The 20,480-nt window shown below is 34.6% G+C and overlaps 1 protein-coding gene across 13 annotated transcripts in view; it reads left to right on the forward strand.

Moving 5' to 3' along the window:
- Positions 1 to 20,480, forward strand: part of ARHGAP15 (Rho GTPase activating protein 15) — a 638,934-nt gene that overhangs the window by 321,332 nt on the left and 297,122 nt on the right. The gene's annotated exons all lie outside the window — the stretch shown is intronic.

Genomic DNA, 20,480 nt, shown 5'->3' on the forward strand with positions numbered 1-20,480 from the left:
TTTTTTTTACTGCACTTAAGAATAACAGTTGGTGACAATTTAAGGTGAGTCAGTTTAGGGAAAAACTGAGACAAATCCATCCTCTAAATTATTGTTGCCTGTCTCCATCTTTTTCTTGTAACCACTTCTCATCTTTGACTTTGAAACCCAACAGTTTAAACTTGGTTCTTATTTCAGTGGGCTAATCCCCTTTCATAAATCTTGCTCAAGAGCTGAAATAATTTGCACATCATTTAAAGAGTATTTGCTTTGAAATATTCACCTCAAGCCCTTTTGTATATCCTCTCTCTCTAAAGATTTGTAGTATTTGTTTTGTTCTCTGAGGTATAAAAGACCTGGATAAACTTTATTCCTGTTGTTTCAAGATTAGTTAACGAAAATGCATATTAATTCAGCAGGGACGGAAATAAACCTCAGTAAAGATGATCATACATTCGCCTCTCGGGGATAGCAAAGTACAAAATGTCAGTCTTCAAATCTCCTTGGACTTGCTCAAAAGAGCATTTGGGGATTTAAATTTCCAGAATATGTCTACAAATGTATTTTCTTTGTTGTGGAGAACAGAAGCTATACTGATTATTTTTCCCCAGAAAATTGATTCTAATTTGTGTTTGAACAAAAATTAAGCCATCTAGAAAGTAGCACTTCAAGAAGACAGAGGAAAACTGCCACTGAAAAGGTAAATTTAACATTAAAAATTATATTCTTGATAAGCCACTAAATTTTTAGTTTATTTGTCATCAGATCCCAAATCCCAGGATAGTTTCACAGAATTTCTGTATTTTTTTCTATGAAAAAATTAGAATTGAAAGGACCTCAGAAAATCAAAAGTAGACATATTTAAATAGAGTTAAATGTTCCTCTGCATTTATAAGCTCAAATTTTAAAGTTTGTTGGTCAGCTCAGAAAAAAAATACAAATTTCTCTAGATAATATATTTGTTTCATATGTTAAGATGTGCCCTGTGTTTTTCTTAAACTGAAAATGACCATAAACTTTTGGCACTTAAGTGCTTATCCGGAAATGACTAAGTGGATTCAGGAGTAATAAATCACTCATATGGATCCAGCCACCCACAGTCTTGTTCCACTTCTCTTCTTTACAAGTGTAGTAATAGACATTTCCACAGTCCTCAGGGTGCCGAACTTTGCACCATTAGGAAAATCTGCAAGTAGCTTGATTTATCTTCCTCACTCAGTTAGCTAAGACCCAACTAACTAAAAATCAGCAGGAATGAACTTGACTTGTTAAACTTTTTTAATAGGGAGATGCAACAATTACAACTTTCCTCCTTTGCCACTTCAATTTACATTGGATGTGAAGCCCCTGGTGAAAAATATTCAGATGAGAACTCAAATTATAGGTGCATGGCTGGATGATGCTGACTCTAGGTTTTCATTATACACAGAGAATCGTCTGCTGTTTGCAATTAATCCAGACACAATCCTCTTGGTACTTTGGGAGGAATGCGGAAGAAATAGCCATTTTATAAGTTGTAAACTCCTAAATTACCCTAAATTAGAGACACTATTAATCGAACACTTTGATATAGGTAGGATCTGCTTATTGTGTAGGCTCATCTTCCCCTGATGGAGCAATCAATTAAATATTTAGGATGTGGAATACCTTCCGGGTTGGATAATGCATTTCATTTAAATTATGGCCCTCCAACCCGAAACATTAAAGGGGATCTTAACGGATGGAAGCACATTACTGTCTCTTGGATTGGGCGCATTAACACTTTAAAAATGAATGTGCTTCCCAGGATTTCCTATTTGTTCCACCAGCTGCCTGTGGATGTGCCAGATAAACAGTTTAAGGATAAGTATGTAAAAGATGCATGTGTAACTTTTTGTGTGCTGAGGTGCACCCTTGTAGCAAGAGTCCTCAACTGTGGCCCCTTTGGATTTTTTTTTTTTTTTTTGTCTCAATGCTGTAGCAGTCTAAAATGAGAGTGCTCATTTGATCATGGGAGAGTAGGAGGGAAAGCCAACAAAAGATGTAATTAGACTTCTGACAAAGGTTCTGTCTGTGTTTAATCTTTTATCATTTCTACCTATAATTTATCCTAATAAATAGTGATTATTACTAGAAAATATTGGGATGATATAGTAGAATTCAAAATAAGCATAAGCTTTCCCATTCTAAAAATATTTGGCATAAAGGAAATTATTTAATTTTTACCCAAGGACAATTACTATGTCAAATTTATGAACAGTATTGTAAGAACAGAGTTGTTATGTCTCCCATACCACGGAAGCATGGTATAGATATGGTAAATACTTTAGAGAGCTTACCAGGCTGTAGGCAGCATTCTAAGCACTTTAATCTACTCTCATTGAATCCTGTCAACCCTATGCAGCTCAGTGACATTATTATCATCCCCATTTTATCTATTAAGTGACTGAGGCACTGAAAGGTTAATCAATTTACACAAAGTTATATAATTAAGAAGTAGCTGAGTTAGAATTTGAAACCAAGCAGTCTAACTTCACAGCCTGGAACCACAAACCACTGTGTAGCATCCGGCTTCTGGAGTGAGGTTGATGGTTTCTGCAATTTACTAGCTCTACAAACTTTGAGCCAGTCACTTAACCTCACTAAGCTACTGTTTTATAATCTTAAAAATGTCAATAATAATAGTATCTACCTCACAGAGTTGATTGGAAGCATAAATTAGATTAAGTAATGTAACGTTTATAGCATTGTTTGGGAGAATGTAAGTACTCAATAAATGTTAATCATAACGTTAGTACAAGTATTTTCTTTTCTTCCATAGTATTTGGAAAAGTTCTCCTAATTTGGTTAAGAAAATGTTATCTTAAAGATAAATGATTGAAATTCCTAGAGATTAATGTATTTTCCAAAATGTCTTTGGACTTACAGGGGAAAAATAGTATATTGAGTGCCTTACAGAAGGCTATAAACTTCCTGAACCATGAGTCTGTTTTCATTCATTTTCCATTTATAAAAGTCTTGATTCACTATTAACATAATACATAAATATATCATATTAGCTTACTGAGTGAAAACAAATTTATCCAATCGGAAAAAAAAAAAAAGATGTTAAAGATAGGGGTCAATTTCTTTGTTTCCCAGAGACAGGCTTTTCATATCAAATCTGATAGAACACATGCTTCAGAAGGGAGCAGAAAACTCAGCTAACTGGTATAATTATGTAACTCAAATGGTCATATTGAGAGGGTTAAACTTTGGCAATAGAATGTGGAAATACAAAGTTCAATGAAGTTGTAGGAATTTAACTGAAAAGAAATTACTTATCAGCATTTTGATGGGGAATAAACAAACAAAAGAAACAAATTGGTCCTTTCAAAGTTGGGTGGAAAGAATGTTCCTGAAGCCTTCCTTAGTAATCACCGTCATTGAGAGGCCCTGAGGACTCGTATCTGTAGTAATTGATACCTAGTCCTCATGCTCAAGGAGGAAGACAACTGGTATTTATGGGCTTGTCAAGAAAGGAATTAGTTGGAATTCCTTTTTCTACTCCATCTTTCACTAGTCTTTATTGAGCCAAGTTTATTGTAAGTTAGGGGTGAATCATACAGATACCTTTACTCTTTCAATATGCTAAGAAAACAATTGGGATGAAAAGAGAATCTGATATTTTAAACACCAAGCAATGTGTTTTATTTGGCTGGGAATACAGTCTTATGGGCAATCACTGTATATTTATCTGTTTGCTTGTTTATTTGGAAGTCCTACCAGTGGAGTAAAGCTCCTCATCTATTGAGCTCTGATCTTCTTCCACTGAACAGATAGAAAGGAAAGGCCTTAGACAGAATTATAATAAAGGTGTATGAGGCAACTCAGGCTCAACCAGAAAGATCAGCCAATCAACTCTGAAAACCAACAAAGATGCAAGTTGCACAGAGCAATACTCCTCCTAATATTTTTCTTACGTTCATAATATGGGTGGATTAATAATTTTTCTGTGTTGTAATATATTCATAATACAAGCGGATTAACTCAGATTAAAATGCTCTATATCTGGTGAATGAGGGAAGACAAAATAGGCCCTAAAAATGGGAATGCTTATTTAGGGAACAAACAAAGATGACGTAAACTCTAAAAAGCTGGAGTACTCAGAGCAAGAACTCAGTTCACACATTCACATCACAGACATTTGTAGGGGAGTTGCTTTGTGCATGCACTGTTTTAAGCACTGGAGTTAAAGAGACTCCAAATGTTATCAATTCCACATTAACAAAGAGAGTTTGTTACTGGAAGGGGCTCCCAATCCAGACCCCAAGACAGGGTTCTTGGACCTCGCGCAAGAAAGAATCTGAGGTGAGTCCACAGAGTAAAGCAAAAGCAAGATTATTAAGGAAGTAAAGGAATAAAAGAATAGCTACTCCATAGAGCCGTTCTGAGGGCTGCTGGTTGGCTATTTTTATTGTCGTTTCTTGATTATATGCTAAACAAGGTGTGGCTTATTCATTAGTTTTCAAGGAAAGAGGTGAGCAATTCCCGGAACTTTTTAGAACATGCTAAAGGACATACTAAAAGACATTTAGCATGCTGATGCATTATAGTTAGTGTATAAGGAGCAGTAAGGACGACCAAAGGTCACTTTCATTGCCATCTTGGTTTTGGTGGGATTTGGCTGGCTTCTTTACCACATCCTTTTATCAGCAAGGTCTTTGTGACCTATACCTTGTACTGACCTCCTATCTCATCCTGTGACTAAGAATATCTTAAACTCTTGGGATTGCAGCCCCAGAGGTTTTATCCTTATTTTACCCAGCCGCTATTCAAGATGGAGTTGCTCTGGTTCAAACACCTCTGACATTTATGGTCAAATTTTAGGTAGCTATTTCCCATTCTCTAACAAGTTGATTTAATTTAAAGATGATTATACACATGATGAAATACTGTTAAAATATTCCTGCTTGATTTTATTAACAAAACGAATATAGTATTTTGATCTAATTTACATGTCTAGCTCATATTGAATTTTTTAAGAAATTTCGCATTTACATTAGGTCCAAACTCTCATCTATGGAGTATTAAGTAGCGCCATGACCACAGTCCACCAAAGTGTTTAAAAGGAAAAAAGTTTAATAAATCAAAATGCTCCAATCTTGAGTCCTGGTGTCTTTTTTTAAAATCCCAAATGGTCTGGAGGCTGACATTATTTCCTGGCTGGCCCTAGGAGGGAGGATCTGTCACTTGTTAGTAATAGACACAGAGTTAAATGACCTGGAGACCTGCCATTAGGAAGCAAATACTACCCATTATTTAAGTCCAGAGGAGGGCAGCTCACCTGAGTATCCAGCTGCACTGTAATAATGACGAATCTGGGTGGTAGAGCCAGAAGCCTCAGCTTAAATCCTGACGCTGCCAGAACCTACATTTGGCTTATGCAAAATTTCCTCAAAGACTGGCAGTGAGGGCTAAATAACTTAGCCCCTGAAAGTTCTCAGAATAGTGTCTGGAGTATAGTAAGTTTTCATTAAATGTTGGCTATTAACATTGAGACTTCTGTTAGACCAAATATAACAGTCCATACAACTTGCAGAATATTGAAAACAAAATGGTAAACATATAAATGACAGAGGGCAACTTAATTGGAGGTTGTAGAGAAATATTTAGAATCATTAAAAATGAAATCATTTTGAATTTTCTATTGTGTTACATACTAAAATTAACATTAGGAAACAATGTGAAGTAAAGGTGTAGAGTGAAATGGCTAAACTTATTTTCATAAAGTGAAAGCATTTCCCTTCCAAAAAGAAAAAAATTGTAATCAATCTATATATATTAGTATCAGTATGAATTAAAAAAATAAAATTTTGTATTCACCATGAGCTGTTCTAAGCATGTAGCATGTATTTTCTCATCTTCAAGACAGTTATATGTTAATAATTTTATATTCATTTACAGAGGAGGAAACACAGATATTTAGTTTTGGAGTCTAGATTATAACTTCAGCAGTCTAAATCAGAACACATTCTATTATACCTTTTATAGGCTTTGTATAATTTTCCTTTTGTAACTTGCCTTTAAGTTTTATTTGTTATTATATATAAGTAATTATGTTATTAAATTGTGTACATGTGTTTTGAAAGACAGATTTGTGCAGATATAATGCATGTATGTCTATAGTATATAAAAATAAATTTTAAGGGGCATATTGACAGATGGAAAAAGCATAAATGTCAAAGAAAGTTGATTTAGAAATTAATATATAATAAAAATTAAACTAGCATTTATTAATTTAACAGATGGTGAGTTAAAAAGTAAAAACAAAATCTCGAATCGTAACTTGATTTTTACAATTAGTGTGATTATTTCACAAACTTATTCAAAAGTTTGCTATTTTCTTGTTCTATTTAAAAGAAAAAAGCTCCCATCTCAAAGTTTCCACCAAATAATTTACTACTTTCATTTAACAGATTCTGTTCAGAAATCTGCATATGTACAAATGAGCACCAGAATATAAAATTTAATCATAGACCAACATCCAAAAAATTATAGTGGATGTAGGTGAGGCATGCTAGCTCATGCCTGTAACCCCAGCACTTTAGGAGATAGAGACTAGAGGATCACTTGAGGCCAAAAGTTAAAGACCAGCCTAGCCAACATAGTAAGACCCAGTCTCCACAAAAAATAAAATACAAAACAATTAGCTGGACATGGTAGCATGCACCTGTAGTCCCAGGAGGCTGAGGGAACTTACTTGAGCCCAGGAGTTTGAGGTTACAGTGATTATGCCACTGCACTCCAGCCTGGGCAACAGAGTGAAACCCTGTGTTGTTTTTTTTTAATATATATATATTTATGATGTAAAACTATATTTTACATATTTATATTGTTGACTAATATATATTATAATTTATACTATAAATACAAATATTGGACATTGTTTTTAAATACCCACAGTATTTATTATTAACTATATACTAAATCCACAAAATTATACATGCAAAAATTATTTTAAAATGTGATCTGTGTAAGATATAAAAAATTGATAACAAGAAATTAACAAAATACCCCAAGTACCTTATTAATTTAAAAATTTTCTGTCAATTGCTTTTGTCTTAAGGATAAATCCAATATCAAATTTAATAGTATGCAACCAAAATAATATTCAGAGGCAAATGCATAGTATTAAATGTTTTTAATATTAAAGAAGTAAAACAATTACATAAGAAATATTTTAGGTTAACTAAACATAACTAAAGAAATCTGAGGTTAGAAATGATAAAATAAAGAAAAATCAATCACATGTAAAACAAAAAAATATTATTGCACTAAAAGTTATTTGGAAAGTAGTCTCTTAGGAATGAAATAAAAATAACTCTGAAAATCTAATTTTAGAGAACATAAAGAAACTAGAAGGACATAAGAAAAACTAGAATATTTGAACATACATCTTCAAAATCTCCCTCAAAAAGGTCCCAGGTCTAAAGATTTACTAGTGAATGATGTTAATCTTCTAACTGGTAATTTTCATGTCATTTGAAAGCACACAAATAATCAGTGAGTAAAATTTTCAAATACTCAAGTAATGATCAAGGAACTGAAAAATAAAGCAACAGACACATGCCAACACCGCTGTGTCTGCAGCTATAGTGAACGGCATCAGGATGGTCTGAAGGCACTTGAAATCTAAGTAGGACCAGAGCTTTGACCCTTGTTTTCCAGGAAATTCCTTCAGGGAGACAGTTACTGAGACCTGCGCAATGACTCTGCGCACTACCTGCAGTGTGTTCAGAGACCATTTAAAGGGAAGGAGATTCCTGCTGAAGGGCCGGTGATCATGGGCCAGAGGAAAGAAAAATCTGAAAGTTCTTCGTGTCCTTGACATTTGAAAATGGACTCTTCAAATGGGGAACTTGAGAACTCTGGCTCTTGTCAATTAAGATCATTAAGATAGACATCATTCGGATGAATAGTTTAGTGAGGAGAAAATTTATTCCCTCCTTTATAATGTTTTCCTCTCCTTTGCTAATGAACCATTACATTTTGCTTTGAAGTTATGACTCAGCTGTTTTGACATTTTCATAGTGACCAAATATGCCAAAATAGAGCAATTTTTTTGGAAGAAAATATTTGCAATACTTGGATTGTGATCAGCTTGAGGTAATATATGTAAAAAATGGTAAACTTGTCATAATGCTTAGGGTCACCTGACCTCTTAAATGTAGCTGTTTGGTACATGATACTAATTTTTTTTCTTCTTAATTTAAGCAACTGACTAGAACTTCTTTAGTCTCAGTGAGGTCATGCTCTCAAAAGGCATATTGCCAGCTGGTCTCAATGCTTGGAGGCATAGTTGTAAATTTTTATACAGCACCTTAAGAGTTTTTAAGGTTGCTAGTGGCTTCAATTAAAGACCACATTTAATAGATTAACAAGGGATGCCAGATTAAGACTTGAAAACTTTAAGCAAGTCACAGTGAATTTAAGAAAGTTGCAGTGGGGTATAGGAAATAGAATGATTTGAGTAGCTAATGAAAAAGAGTTGCAAAGATTTGTTTTTGCCAGCATCCAATCCAAGTTTTAGGATCAAGGTACCACTATCTGATTAAAATGCCAAAATGGTGCATCTGGTTAAATGGGGGGTGGGGGGAAGGATGCTTTATTTGCCTTGTTTCCCATCCTTCTCAGTAACATTTCTAATCACAAAGATGATTAGCTCTATCATTTAAAAATAAAACTAAAGTAAGAAAGTGGCATATTAATAGTTTTCATAAATCTTATCAACTACTATATTTCATTGCATCATAATCATGTAGATATAAAAGCATGTGTGTGCCCACTCAGGGGTGTATATAAGTATTTTATCTGTATTGCATACCTATGCTTTCTGTATACAATATTTGGAAATACACACTGAAAGCCTTAGAAATATGTGTACTCTTAATTTTTTAAAAAAAAGATTGTACTCCTCAAACGATTTCAGTTCTTAAAATCCATTCAAAGAAAACTAAAAGTCTGAATTGAAGTGTTTTTTGATCATAGTGAAAAATTTGAAATAATCTACCTGTCCAACAGTGGGCCTTTGTTTAAAAAATCATGGTGTATCCCTATGATGGTATATATGTAATCAAAAACATTTAAGTTTTCAAAGAAAATTGTGGAAGCATAATTCTAAGTATGAAGCATACTTAGAATAAACGTGCATAATGTGAAGTATGGGAGAGGGATACAAAACTTGTTTGATATGAAGTATTAAAGCAGAGGCCTGGTCTGCTTGGCCAGAGATGCATCCCTGCATAAAGTAAGGGCTCATTAAATATCTGTTAAATAAGTGAATGAGTATAGGATGTAAAAGAAAAATAGCAACAGCAACTCTAAGTAATACAGTGATCATGGGTTTACTTTGTTTTCTTCTCTAGTCTCCCTCCCTAAGTCTTCTAAATTTTCCATAATAAATGTTTGTTTCCAATATCAGAAATAGTATAAAATATAGCACAATTGTGATGGATGATGAGCAAGATTATTAGTGGAAATATATCTCACAAAGTGTGTACTATGTTTTGCCCATGAATATTTGGCTCTTCTCTTCTGAAATTCAAAACTCTGAGGTTTGCTCACACGAATTTTTTTCCCCACACTTCACCAGCCCTTGACATGTGACTACAATATGTATTTTTTGCTACTAGTTTTATTCATTTCATTTTATCCTCTGCATTCTTGAAGGCATGAATGACAGACATCTGGAAAATATATATATATCTAGACACTGAAAACATAATTTCTTATCAAAGAGCTGGAATATAAACATCTAGAAGACAAAGTATCTGAATAATGTTAAATTAGAATCTTTATTTTATACTAACCAGATCTCAAATATGAAGCACAAATTGTGGTTTATTGCTTGATATGTAATTGCATTAGGGTTATCATTCTTTTTAATATCATTTTTTCCCTCAGTTGGATTTTATCCAAGAAGTGATATAATGTGCTAGGAAGACTTTACCTAAACTTTGATGCTTTTAAACAACATGTATGTGGGACTCCTCCTCTCTTTGATAAGAAGAAAATGGGAAAATGAAGAGAAAGCTGAAACATTACCATTTTAGGGGAAACTTAGGAAAGGAACCCAGAGTGGGCAGCTTCCAGGGGCAGTTTCACCATTCTTGTCAGAAGGGAACAGACACATAGAATGTAAATAACATACCCAATATTGACTATGGGAATAGAGGCCCCTTCTGCCTTCCTTTTATTTGAAGTAAAATGTTTGCCCCTTCCTCAGGCTTCAAATTGCTTAGAGCATCTAGAAGACTTGGCTGGGCATGGTGGCGCACGCCTGTAATCCCAACACTTTGAGAGGCCAAAGCAGATGGATCGCCTCGGGTCAGGAGTTTGAGACCAGCCTGGCCAACATGGTGAAACCCTGTCTGTACTAAAAATATAAAAATTAGCCAGGCACGGTGGCGCACACCTGTAATCCCAGCTACTCGGGATGCTGAGGCAGGAGAATCGCTTGAATCCAGGAGACAGAAGTTGCAGTCGCACCACTGCATTCTAGCCTGGGCTACAGAATGAGACTCTGTCTCTCAAAAAAAAAAAAAAAAAAAAAAAAACAGAACTCAAGCCCACCTTTACATTAAAATCCTTAAACAATTTCTTTTGATGTGGCGTATTCTATTAGACTACTCTTATACGTTGAACACAACTGTGGGGTAGTGAAGTTGTGATGTAGAAACTCTGTTTCCTTGAACTTAGTGCTAACTTTAGGGAGCACAGATATTAACATTTCTTCATTTGGGCTAAATGTTATAAGAACAATATAAACACTAGAGGATTTTAGCTTCACCACCATTCGAGAAAATTGGTTTTACTCCCACCATTAAAAGGAAGCAATCTAAAGTAAAGGAATCGATCTATAAGTGTAAGAACAACAGCAAATTTATCAGGAAAATGTTTAAACAGACAAATTAACCATTTTTCAGTGTCCATTTTCTTCATTATGACCAAGGATATCCTTGACTGTAAAGAAAAATTCAATTATTTGCCAAACCGTAGGTGCTAATCCTGTTTCTGCAGTTGTCTGTAAATAGAATTCCCCTTTGCAGTGCCGTTTTCTGCATGGTACCTTAAACAAATAGGTCTTAGCAATAGTTCCAATAGGATTGGAGGTTCACCATTAAAAATAGACTTATCGGCCTGCTGCTGTGGCTCATGCCTGTAATCCCAGCACTTTGGGAGGCAGAGTAAGGCTGATCGCTTGAGCAGCCTGGGCAACATGGCAAAACCCCATCTCTACAAAAAATACAAAAATTAGCCGGGAATGGTGGTGCGCAGCTACTCGGAGTAGTTCCAGCTACTCAGGAGGCTGAGGTGGGAGGATGACTTGAGCCTGGGAGGCGGAGGTTACAGTGAGTCAAGGTCATGCCTCTGCACTCCAGCCTGGGCAATAGAGCCAGAACTTGTCTCAATAAAATAAAATAGACTTATTACCAGGTGCACATGATATGTAAAGTTGGTTGTGTAAAGTAAATAAAGTAAACTATAATTGATAGGCCATCTCCATTCTGCTGGGAATTGTTGTGTTCACTTGTTTCTAAAATTTTATTTTTGTGGTGGAAGTTTGCCTCTACAAAAATGACAGCTTACAGTTTTAAACTATTGGGGAAAAAAAATAAAACTAAAAGACTACAAAGAAGAAATGATTCCTGACCATTAAGTCTTCTGCAATGCCATGATAGCAAAAAAAAGGCACAAAGTTTTACTGAAGGTTAGATACACCTCACATTCCCAGTAGATATTTACAGAATCTCATACATCTATTCATTCAATAAGTGTGACACTGTCCTATGCACTGGAGATACAATAAACAAAATAGATGAGCGTCCTTCTCCAAAAATGTCTCACATATGAGGGAATGCTAACCTTAAAATCAAAGCCATGTGCATTGAGTGTTGAAAGGTAACCAAGACTATACCTAACCAACCTACTTTTACAAAAGACAAAAGTTAGACCAAACAGTCATTGTAGAATCACTCTGGGTTCAACAGAGAAGCAGTACTACTACTAGTAAGATGTAGTAAGATGGATGGATGGATGGATGGATGGATGGACAGACGGACAGACAGACAGACAAAAAGATTTTTCCAGTTGCAGGAGCTTGCTATGCAAGTCTGAAGTTCATAAAGAAACAGTTAGAAAGGGAAGACACAAAGTAGGCTGGAACTCCCAAGGCAGAGGCTATTTGGGGTCTCTGAGCTTAGGGAATATCTAAACCAGGCTTGCTTGTCCAACCTGCAGCCCCTAGTCCTCCTGTGGCCCAGGATGGCTTTGAATGCAGCCCAACACAAATTCATAAACTTTCTTGAAACATGAGATATTTTTGTGATTTTTTTATTTTTAGCTCATCAACTATTGTTAGTGTTAGTGTATTTTATGTGTGGCCCAAGACAATTATTCTTCTTCCAGTGTGGCCCAGGGAGCCAAATATACTGGAAAACTCTGATAAGCCCACTCCTAGGTAGCTCACCTGGCCTAGTCTGATATATCCATAATATATATATATTATAGGCCGGGTGCGGTGGCTCACGCCTGTAATCCCAGCACTTTGGGAGGCCAAGGCGGGTGGATCACTTGAGGTCAAAAGTTTGGGACTAGCCTGGCCAACATGGGGAAACCCTGTCTCTACTAAAAATAGAAAAATTAGCCAGGTGTAGTGGCGGGCACCTGTAATCCTATCTACTCAGGAGGCTGAAACAGGAAAATCACTAACCCTGGAGGCAGAAGTTGTAGTGAGCTGGGATCATGCCATTGCATTCCAACCTCGTAATCAAGAGCGAAACTCCATCTTGGGGGGTGGGGGGGGAAGATGTCTTATAGATAGGGGTGTCTATAATAAATCAGAACAGGCCAGTTGCAACCTTTTTATCTAACCATCCATCCAGCTATCCTACATCTTACTGGTAGTGGTACTGCTTCTCTGTTGAACCCAGGATGATTATACAATGCCTTTTTGGTCTAAATTTTGCCTTTTGTAAAATAATATACCTTCTGATTAACTTAAAGTCTGATTATTAGAGACTTTAATTTCCTCTAAAAATTTCTTCACAGCACCACCTAAATTGGTGTGTGATTGAATGACTAGGCTATATAGTTCACCCTAGCTAGGTTGACATATTAAAAAGCCATTACAGGCACATTCACTTGCCCAGTGTCACACAGCTGTCAAGTGGCTGGAACTAAAACTGACTCATTTCCTCCCCAGTTCATTCTGTGATGGGCATACCTATCCAACATTCACACCCTCCATTCTCCTGTTCTTGAAGACATCTCCATTCAACAGTAAAATGTTGCTTTCAACTACCTCTTACCCTCTTTTCAAAGAACAAGATTATAAAATGACCTGTAATAGTTGGCATGTCTATAAATTTAATTATATTTTAGTCAAAACCACTCATTTAGCTTTGAATTGGTAAGGCTGATGACAAAGCCAGTTTGGCTAGAACTTCTAGAGTCTCGGAAAAAATAGGCTATTTTTCTATAAGAAATAAGGTAACCTATTTATTAAATTGATAGAGAATCAAGGTCAATAATTCTTTATTCCATTTTATTTATTTTAATAGTGACCTAGTAAAGTAGATATAACTTGATAGAAATAAAGAATAGACTGAAAATATAATCTTATGGAAAACAGGTGTCTAGCCTTGGAGAAACAGAACAAATTACATTAGCGATTTAAGACATACAACAACATATCCTAAAAAGAATTCTTATTAACATGGCAAACATTGCCTTAAAAAGCATAAATAAATAAATAAATCCTCTGTATATTCATGTAAATTTGGAAAACTATGCTTAGTCTTGCCAGACAAGTTATTTATATTACTAAATATAAATGACAGAAATTTCTATGACAAATTCTAGTCAAGACAAACTTCTGTTGCAGTGAAAATGATGTAATCAAGCCGTTTTGCCTCTTTACTTGCTGATAGTCAAAACATCTCAAGAAGTTTGTGTTGGAGGATAATGACATTTCCAGAGATTTCTATTATAGGCTGTACCCTCATAATTTTTTTGTTCTAATTTTGTCTTTATCATAGGTAATCATGATATTAAAATTCTATCACTATTCTTTGGATTCCTACATTCCCTTAAAGCTTTTTATTGGAAAATTTTGCTTTATCTTACATAAAAATCTTTTTCATCTTATATAAGGCAATTACGTCGTTTTTCACAATCAAATATTTATTATAACAAGTTTTATTTTTTAAACTTAAAAAACACCCTTCTTTTAAAATAGTTCCTCACATGAATAAAATTGTTTCACTCTTTAAGTGTTGAGACTGAAAGCCTTTCTCCCATCAGTCTCTCAAAATGTTTCTATTATTCCTCCCTTTTAACCCATTGCTATTTTCTTTCCTTCTTCCTTAGGTCTCCTTAACCTCCTCCTGTTTTTTATTTTCTCTGGTTTTCCATTAACATTTTAAAATACACTTTAATGAGCCTCAGCCAAAGGCTCTAAGATGAACAAAAGCCTGGAGAAGAGAATCAAGAGAGGGAGGACAAGAAGGAAAAGAGGAATAGTGGGCACTGCTCTCAGTTTTAAACGAATTTCTGTGGCTGGCTCTCACTTTTATAGCTGGACCTGAATGCTACAGCACTTACTAAGGCCACTAAATCATAGCAAAGTAAGGGTCTGGCTATTAAGAATTGGACCGTCCTTAAATCAGGGATTATTACTGTAATCTTTACATTTAAATATTACATATATGGGCTATTGAAAATGTAGCAAATCTGCTCACTGAAGGCCTTTACTCTGTTGATATCTGCATTTTCAGGGTATAACTGGCAGTCCTTTTAAATATCTGTTGTATTTATTTTAGCATAAAGGTAATGCTTTGTATTTTTTTCCAGTTTAGAAATCCAAATGCTAATATATACATGCATATATTACATGAAAAAAGCATAAAATACTTGAAAACATAATTACCTTTTAGATGCTAATAAAGCAAGAAAAATAAGTTTTTTTTTTCTTTTCATCACTACTTTTTGACATGTCGGCCAATAAAAATCAACTAAAGTTTACCTTCTGTTATATTAGCATCAGTGACTTTCTAATTTGCTTCACTTTCTCCATTTGTGCTTAGGTATGACACTTTTTGCAATTCCAAATTCACATCACCTCTCTAGTTCCTCTCTTCCAAAAAGACAAAAAGTCCCTTGCATGGGTTGGATACTCTATGTCTCTGTTTAGGGATTCATTTAACAGATACCCCAGCACTGCCAGTAAACAAACGGATGCCTTGAACAGTGATGGTTTACAATGGAGACTGACTTCTTTCTTTATTTCCCTGCATTCCAAAATTTTTTTTTTTTATTTTCTTTGTAGTTTGCCTTTGTCACATTGGCATGCAGGGTGAGCTCGGGTCCCAGCAAATATCCCCAGGATGGTAAAATTAGTCCAGAAGAGAAGTTTTATTTTGATTGGCTATTGTATTTTCAGTCTGTCATGGTTCTCTACTTCTATATAGGAGGACAAATTATTTGGGCCAAACAATACAATGTGGTTTGGAAACAATTGGCTTTTATGGGCACAATCTTATTCTTTCCATATCCATTTTTTTAAAAATTGTGAAAATCAAGCCAATTTTTTTTTCAGAACTATGCAATTTCCCAAGACTCATGGAAAAGACAGCTTGGGTTGAATTTTTTTTTTCAATTTCTGCTTATGGGGAAAAAGAGTTGGTTGTATAAATCAGCATATATATTTGTCCAAGCATTCATACATTGTGTTTGGAGTATTAGTGGAAAAGAGTATTTTACATAATGGGCTTTGTCTTCTGGTTTAGTTCTTCAAGTTCCTGACTCCTAGTCCAATACTCATAAATCAAGCATATTCAGGCAAAAAGCAGGTAATTGAGAGGAGCTATTCTCTGGGTAATTCCATCCTCTTTTTTGTGCACACATTTGCAAATGTAAGTGGTTTTCATCTGTGCAGACACCCTTGAGGGGCTCGTCTATCCTCACATCATTTTTAGACATCCAAGAAGTTTCTTTGTAAAACTCTTATTCTGTGATGCCAGATGGTTGATGCCACCCTACAAGACCATATTTTGAGTAAAAAGGACCAGTTTAGCAGGTAGATGAAACAACACCCATTACAATTATTGTTGCATCTCCTGATTCAGTAATGGCAAAATGTACTTCTCATCACATGTTCATTCCAAACACAAAAATGAGTAAAATTCATATGGTTTTCCTTTTACTCTAAGAATTGGGCACAGCTGCTCCCTTACAAGCATTAAAAGGAAAAAATAAAGGAAAAACGTCTTTAATTTCTCGTGTTTTTCAGCATCTCTTCGAAAAATATCTTAGTGATACATGGCTCAACAGCCTGAAAATACCTACTCTTGCTATACTCTTAAGCATAGTTTTCCTTCACATTATAGTATGACAGAGGGAAGATTTCTAATATATAGACTGGGGAATCTAAGGAGGAGAAAATGAAAACTTGAAATAATGCTTAGTCATGCTATTCAATTACTCCATGGCCTTTTTTTTTTTTTTTTTTTTTTTGCAGTCTTTTGTTTGATTCCTGATCTATGCAGTCTCTGAAATGAGTGTACAATTCATTTACCTTGTCTGAAAAAAAAGTTAGTAGTTACATATGTGGCAAATATTGAGTAAAGATGAACATTTTAAGTACTTGTTAGACTTTCAATTATTTGGGTTTTTCCAGAAAATTAAAATGCATTGATCACAAATGTAACAGTACTTGGTTTGGGGTTGTATAATCTTCAGGAAATTATATGTGCAATAAATTAATGCATCAATATAACCAATAAGCATTTGTTACTGATTTAAAAAATACTAAAATAAACCCAGGTACCCAAAACTATTGTCTGCTTCCATCATAAGGATTGACTAGAAATTTCCCGAAGAATATCTTTAGATGACAACATAGATATAATACATAATTCAAGTTATTAACTTCTCCATTTAGGCTTATAGATCTTATAGACACAACTGTTTTAAAAGAAGAACAAGATTTTCATGCAAAAATATGAATTATACAGTAGTTTTACTGAGTCTATTGCTAATGCACATGGAGTTCAGAACCATAATGACGATATTGGGCACTTAAGTCATTAGCCTGTCATATTACAGCAAAATTATTTGTACTATATAATCATTGTTTCCTTTTTTATATTGCACAGATCTAAGCTTAGTTCATCTATCTTTGCCATAGCAGTACCACTTTATTGTTGTAAATACCTATTTTTTAACAATGATTTGAGTATGTTCGTTGTAGTTTAAGTTCATGTTTATTAGACCTTTGCTTCCTTAAAGCTGGAAAACATGAAGTTTACAATCTGCCATAGGGTGCCTTGTTTGATTGTGTATTACTTCATAGCATCAATTACTGTATAGTTTATATTTTAAGTACTTGTATACACACTAAAAATTTCAAGGGGAATGGGAACAAGTTTTTTCTGGTTTTTTTTTTCTAGCAACATTTCCATCTTATTCATCATATTTAAGACATGCTCTTATTCTTAATATTAAAATGGAATTCTGTTTGTAGTCAACTTTTTTTCCTTTAGGGACTTTTAAAGATGAACATGTATAAGTGATCTCTGATGACTATTTTCAATAAGAACAAAATCATTTGTGGAAAAAAAAGCTGAAACTGAAAGCTTCAGCTGCAACTCATTTGTGAACATAAGGTGAATATGGCTGTGGTTTTCAGAACTGGTTCCAGGGTTTCATAAACCTTTTAGAAATGGATATTGATTATTACTATTCAACTAATAAAACTGCTTTCTCAGAATCTGTTTTGCTTGTATTTGATGCCATAAAGGATTGTTTGCCCTATAATTAAATCCTAGAGATTATAGCACAATATAACTCACCTAGCCCATAGGTTGCTATGGGTTTCTTTGTGAGAGAGAGAGAGAGAGAGAGAGAGAGAGAGTGTGTGTGTGTGTGTGTGTGTGTTGTAAAAGTTAAGAGGTGTGCATACTTCTGAGTTTGAATAAGTTGTGGCTGAGACTATTTGAATTGATTTCATACTGGGAAATGGCATACAAGTAAAATCAGTAGTCTATTCAAATCATTGTACAGTCAAGTCAGCTAAATATATGGCAATGAAGAAGTAAAATCAAACCTCAAATTGAACAAAACCAGTCTATTCTGTAGTCAAGTAGACACTATGTCTGTCTCTCTAACTTCTCTGCCCAGACCAAAATCATGATTTGGAGAATGCACTGTAACCAGACAATGCCTATCCAGCCTTTCCTATATTAAAAAATAGATCATCTGGAACTGACCCTTTATGAGAATTTATATTTTTTTACTTTGCCATGAGTTTTCAAGAATAAAATATTGTGTAATAAGAGAAAGGATCAGATAAGCATTGCCACTTTAGAAGCTTTATAACTGTCTCAAGCACAGACTATAAACTTCAAATACCCAGGACCCCTGAGAACCTGTAGTCGACCCATTCACACCTGACAGATATATTTTAAAGTCTGGGTATAAATATAATTATGGAGAGATGACTAGCATGAGTGAAATTTCACAGGTAGCATGCTAGAATAAAGCAGCGCTTGAAAATGGGCATACTAAAATTCAGAAACCTAATGATTGCAGATAAAAGAATGAAATGCAACTTGTACAACCTGCTCTACCGATGTGAGATACAAATACATTTTAAAACTTTTTCTTCTTATACACCCCTGCCCACTGCCATAGTGAGCCTATCGCTGAGTCAGGCCACTGTGCCAACTGTAGCAATGCCCCACACGCGAGCTCCAGTGGGCCAGTTCTTTGTATTGACACATACGCAAGTTCGGACATGACACCCAGAGGCTTGCTCCAGACCTACACCATCCAATAAGAATGTTACTAGCCTCATGCAAACACTGAGCATTTGAAACGTGGCTAGACTGAATTGAGATCCACTTTAGGTATGACTTACACACAAGATTTCAGAGACTTAGTACAATGAAAAGGATATGAGATATCTCATTAACAAATTTTATATTGCTTCCATGGGGAAATGATAATACTTTGGATAGATTGAGTGAAATATATTTTTAAAATTAATACTATTTCTTTTTAATGTGGCTACCAGAAAATTTAAAGTTATATATGTGCCCCACATTGTATTTCTATATGGAAAGTGCTGGTCTAGGGGTCTGAGACCTCAGCCACATGCTGGACTACCCTTTCCAAGAACCTCAATCTGACTCTCTCACTCTCTCTCTTTTTTTTTCTCTCTCTCTCTCTCCATAATTGTCAGATACAGAGAATTCTCTTTATCATCCTCATCCTATTTATTGTCATTAGTCACACAGGACTCTTATCTTTACAATGTTTTCCTTTGTCTTCCATTCACCTTGCCAATGATAAAGATGACTTAGAATGATTTCAGTATATCCATGGATGTATAAGTATCCTTAAAAAAAATTTAACTTTTTTTATTTTAATGTATTCTATTTTTCTTTAAGAAAGAGCTCAACATGATTTGGCACTAGTATCTGTGAATAGGTCAATAAGGAGAAAAATACTACAACTCTTTCTAGGTGTTCAAGGTTTTGGAAAAAAAAAAAAAAAGGGAACTGAGAGCCTGGATCTCCTCTAAGACCTGTTGTGTATATAAACTCAAACTGTCATTTAGTGATAATTACCAATCATCAGTTCCCTTCTTCATAAAACATTAGGTGGTTTATTTTCTTAGAGCATAGGGCTTTTCCATAAATGTTTAAATGTTAGAAACAAGAGATTAAGAGTTTTCATTTTTCTAAAAAAGGAATTCATAATATTCTTTTGTTTTATATATATATATATATTTCATTCTGGGAAATAGCATAAAAGTAGTGTGTGTGTGTACATATATATATGCATGTGTGTGTATATATGTGTATATATATACATATGTGTGTATATATGTGTGTGTATATATATACATGTATATATGTGTGTGTATATATATATGTATATATGTGTATATATATGTGTTGCCTGGGTAAGCATCCAAACCTGTAGATGGAGGTGATTGGTTACACTTCTTGTCAGTCATTCATCCTACTCCAAACAGGTTGGCATATATATATATATCCTGCTCCAAACAGTTTCGCATATATATATATACACACACACGTATATTTATGTGTGTGTGTATATATATACACGTATATTTATGTGTGTATATATATACACGTATGTGTATATGTGTATATATGTGTGTATATACACACATGTGTATCATATGTGTGTACATACACACGTGTATCATATACATGTGTGTATAGATAAAGAAGATATGAATATGTGTGTATATATGCACACACACATGTGTGCATATATACACATATGATACACATGTATAAATGTATATGATACACATGTGTATATATACACACATATACACATACATGTATACACACATGTGTGTGTATAGATACAGAAAGAGGATATGAATATGTGTGTGTATATATACACACATATATGTGTGTATATATACACACACATGTGTA

This window comes from Homo sapiens, chromosome 2 (genome assembly GCF_000001405.40).
Source record: "Homo sapiens chromosome 2, GRCh38.p14 Primary Assembly".
In the NCBI taxonomy this organism is placed as follows: domain Eukaryota; kingdom Metazoa; phylum Chordata; class Mammalia; order Primates; family Hominidae; genus Homo; species Homo sapiens.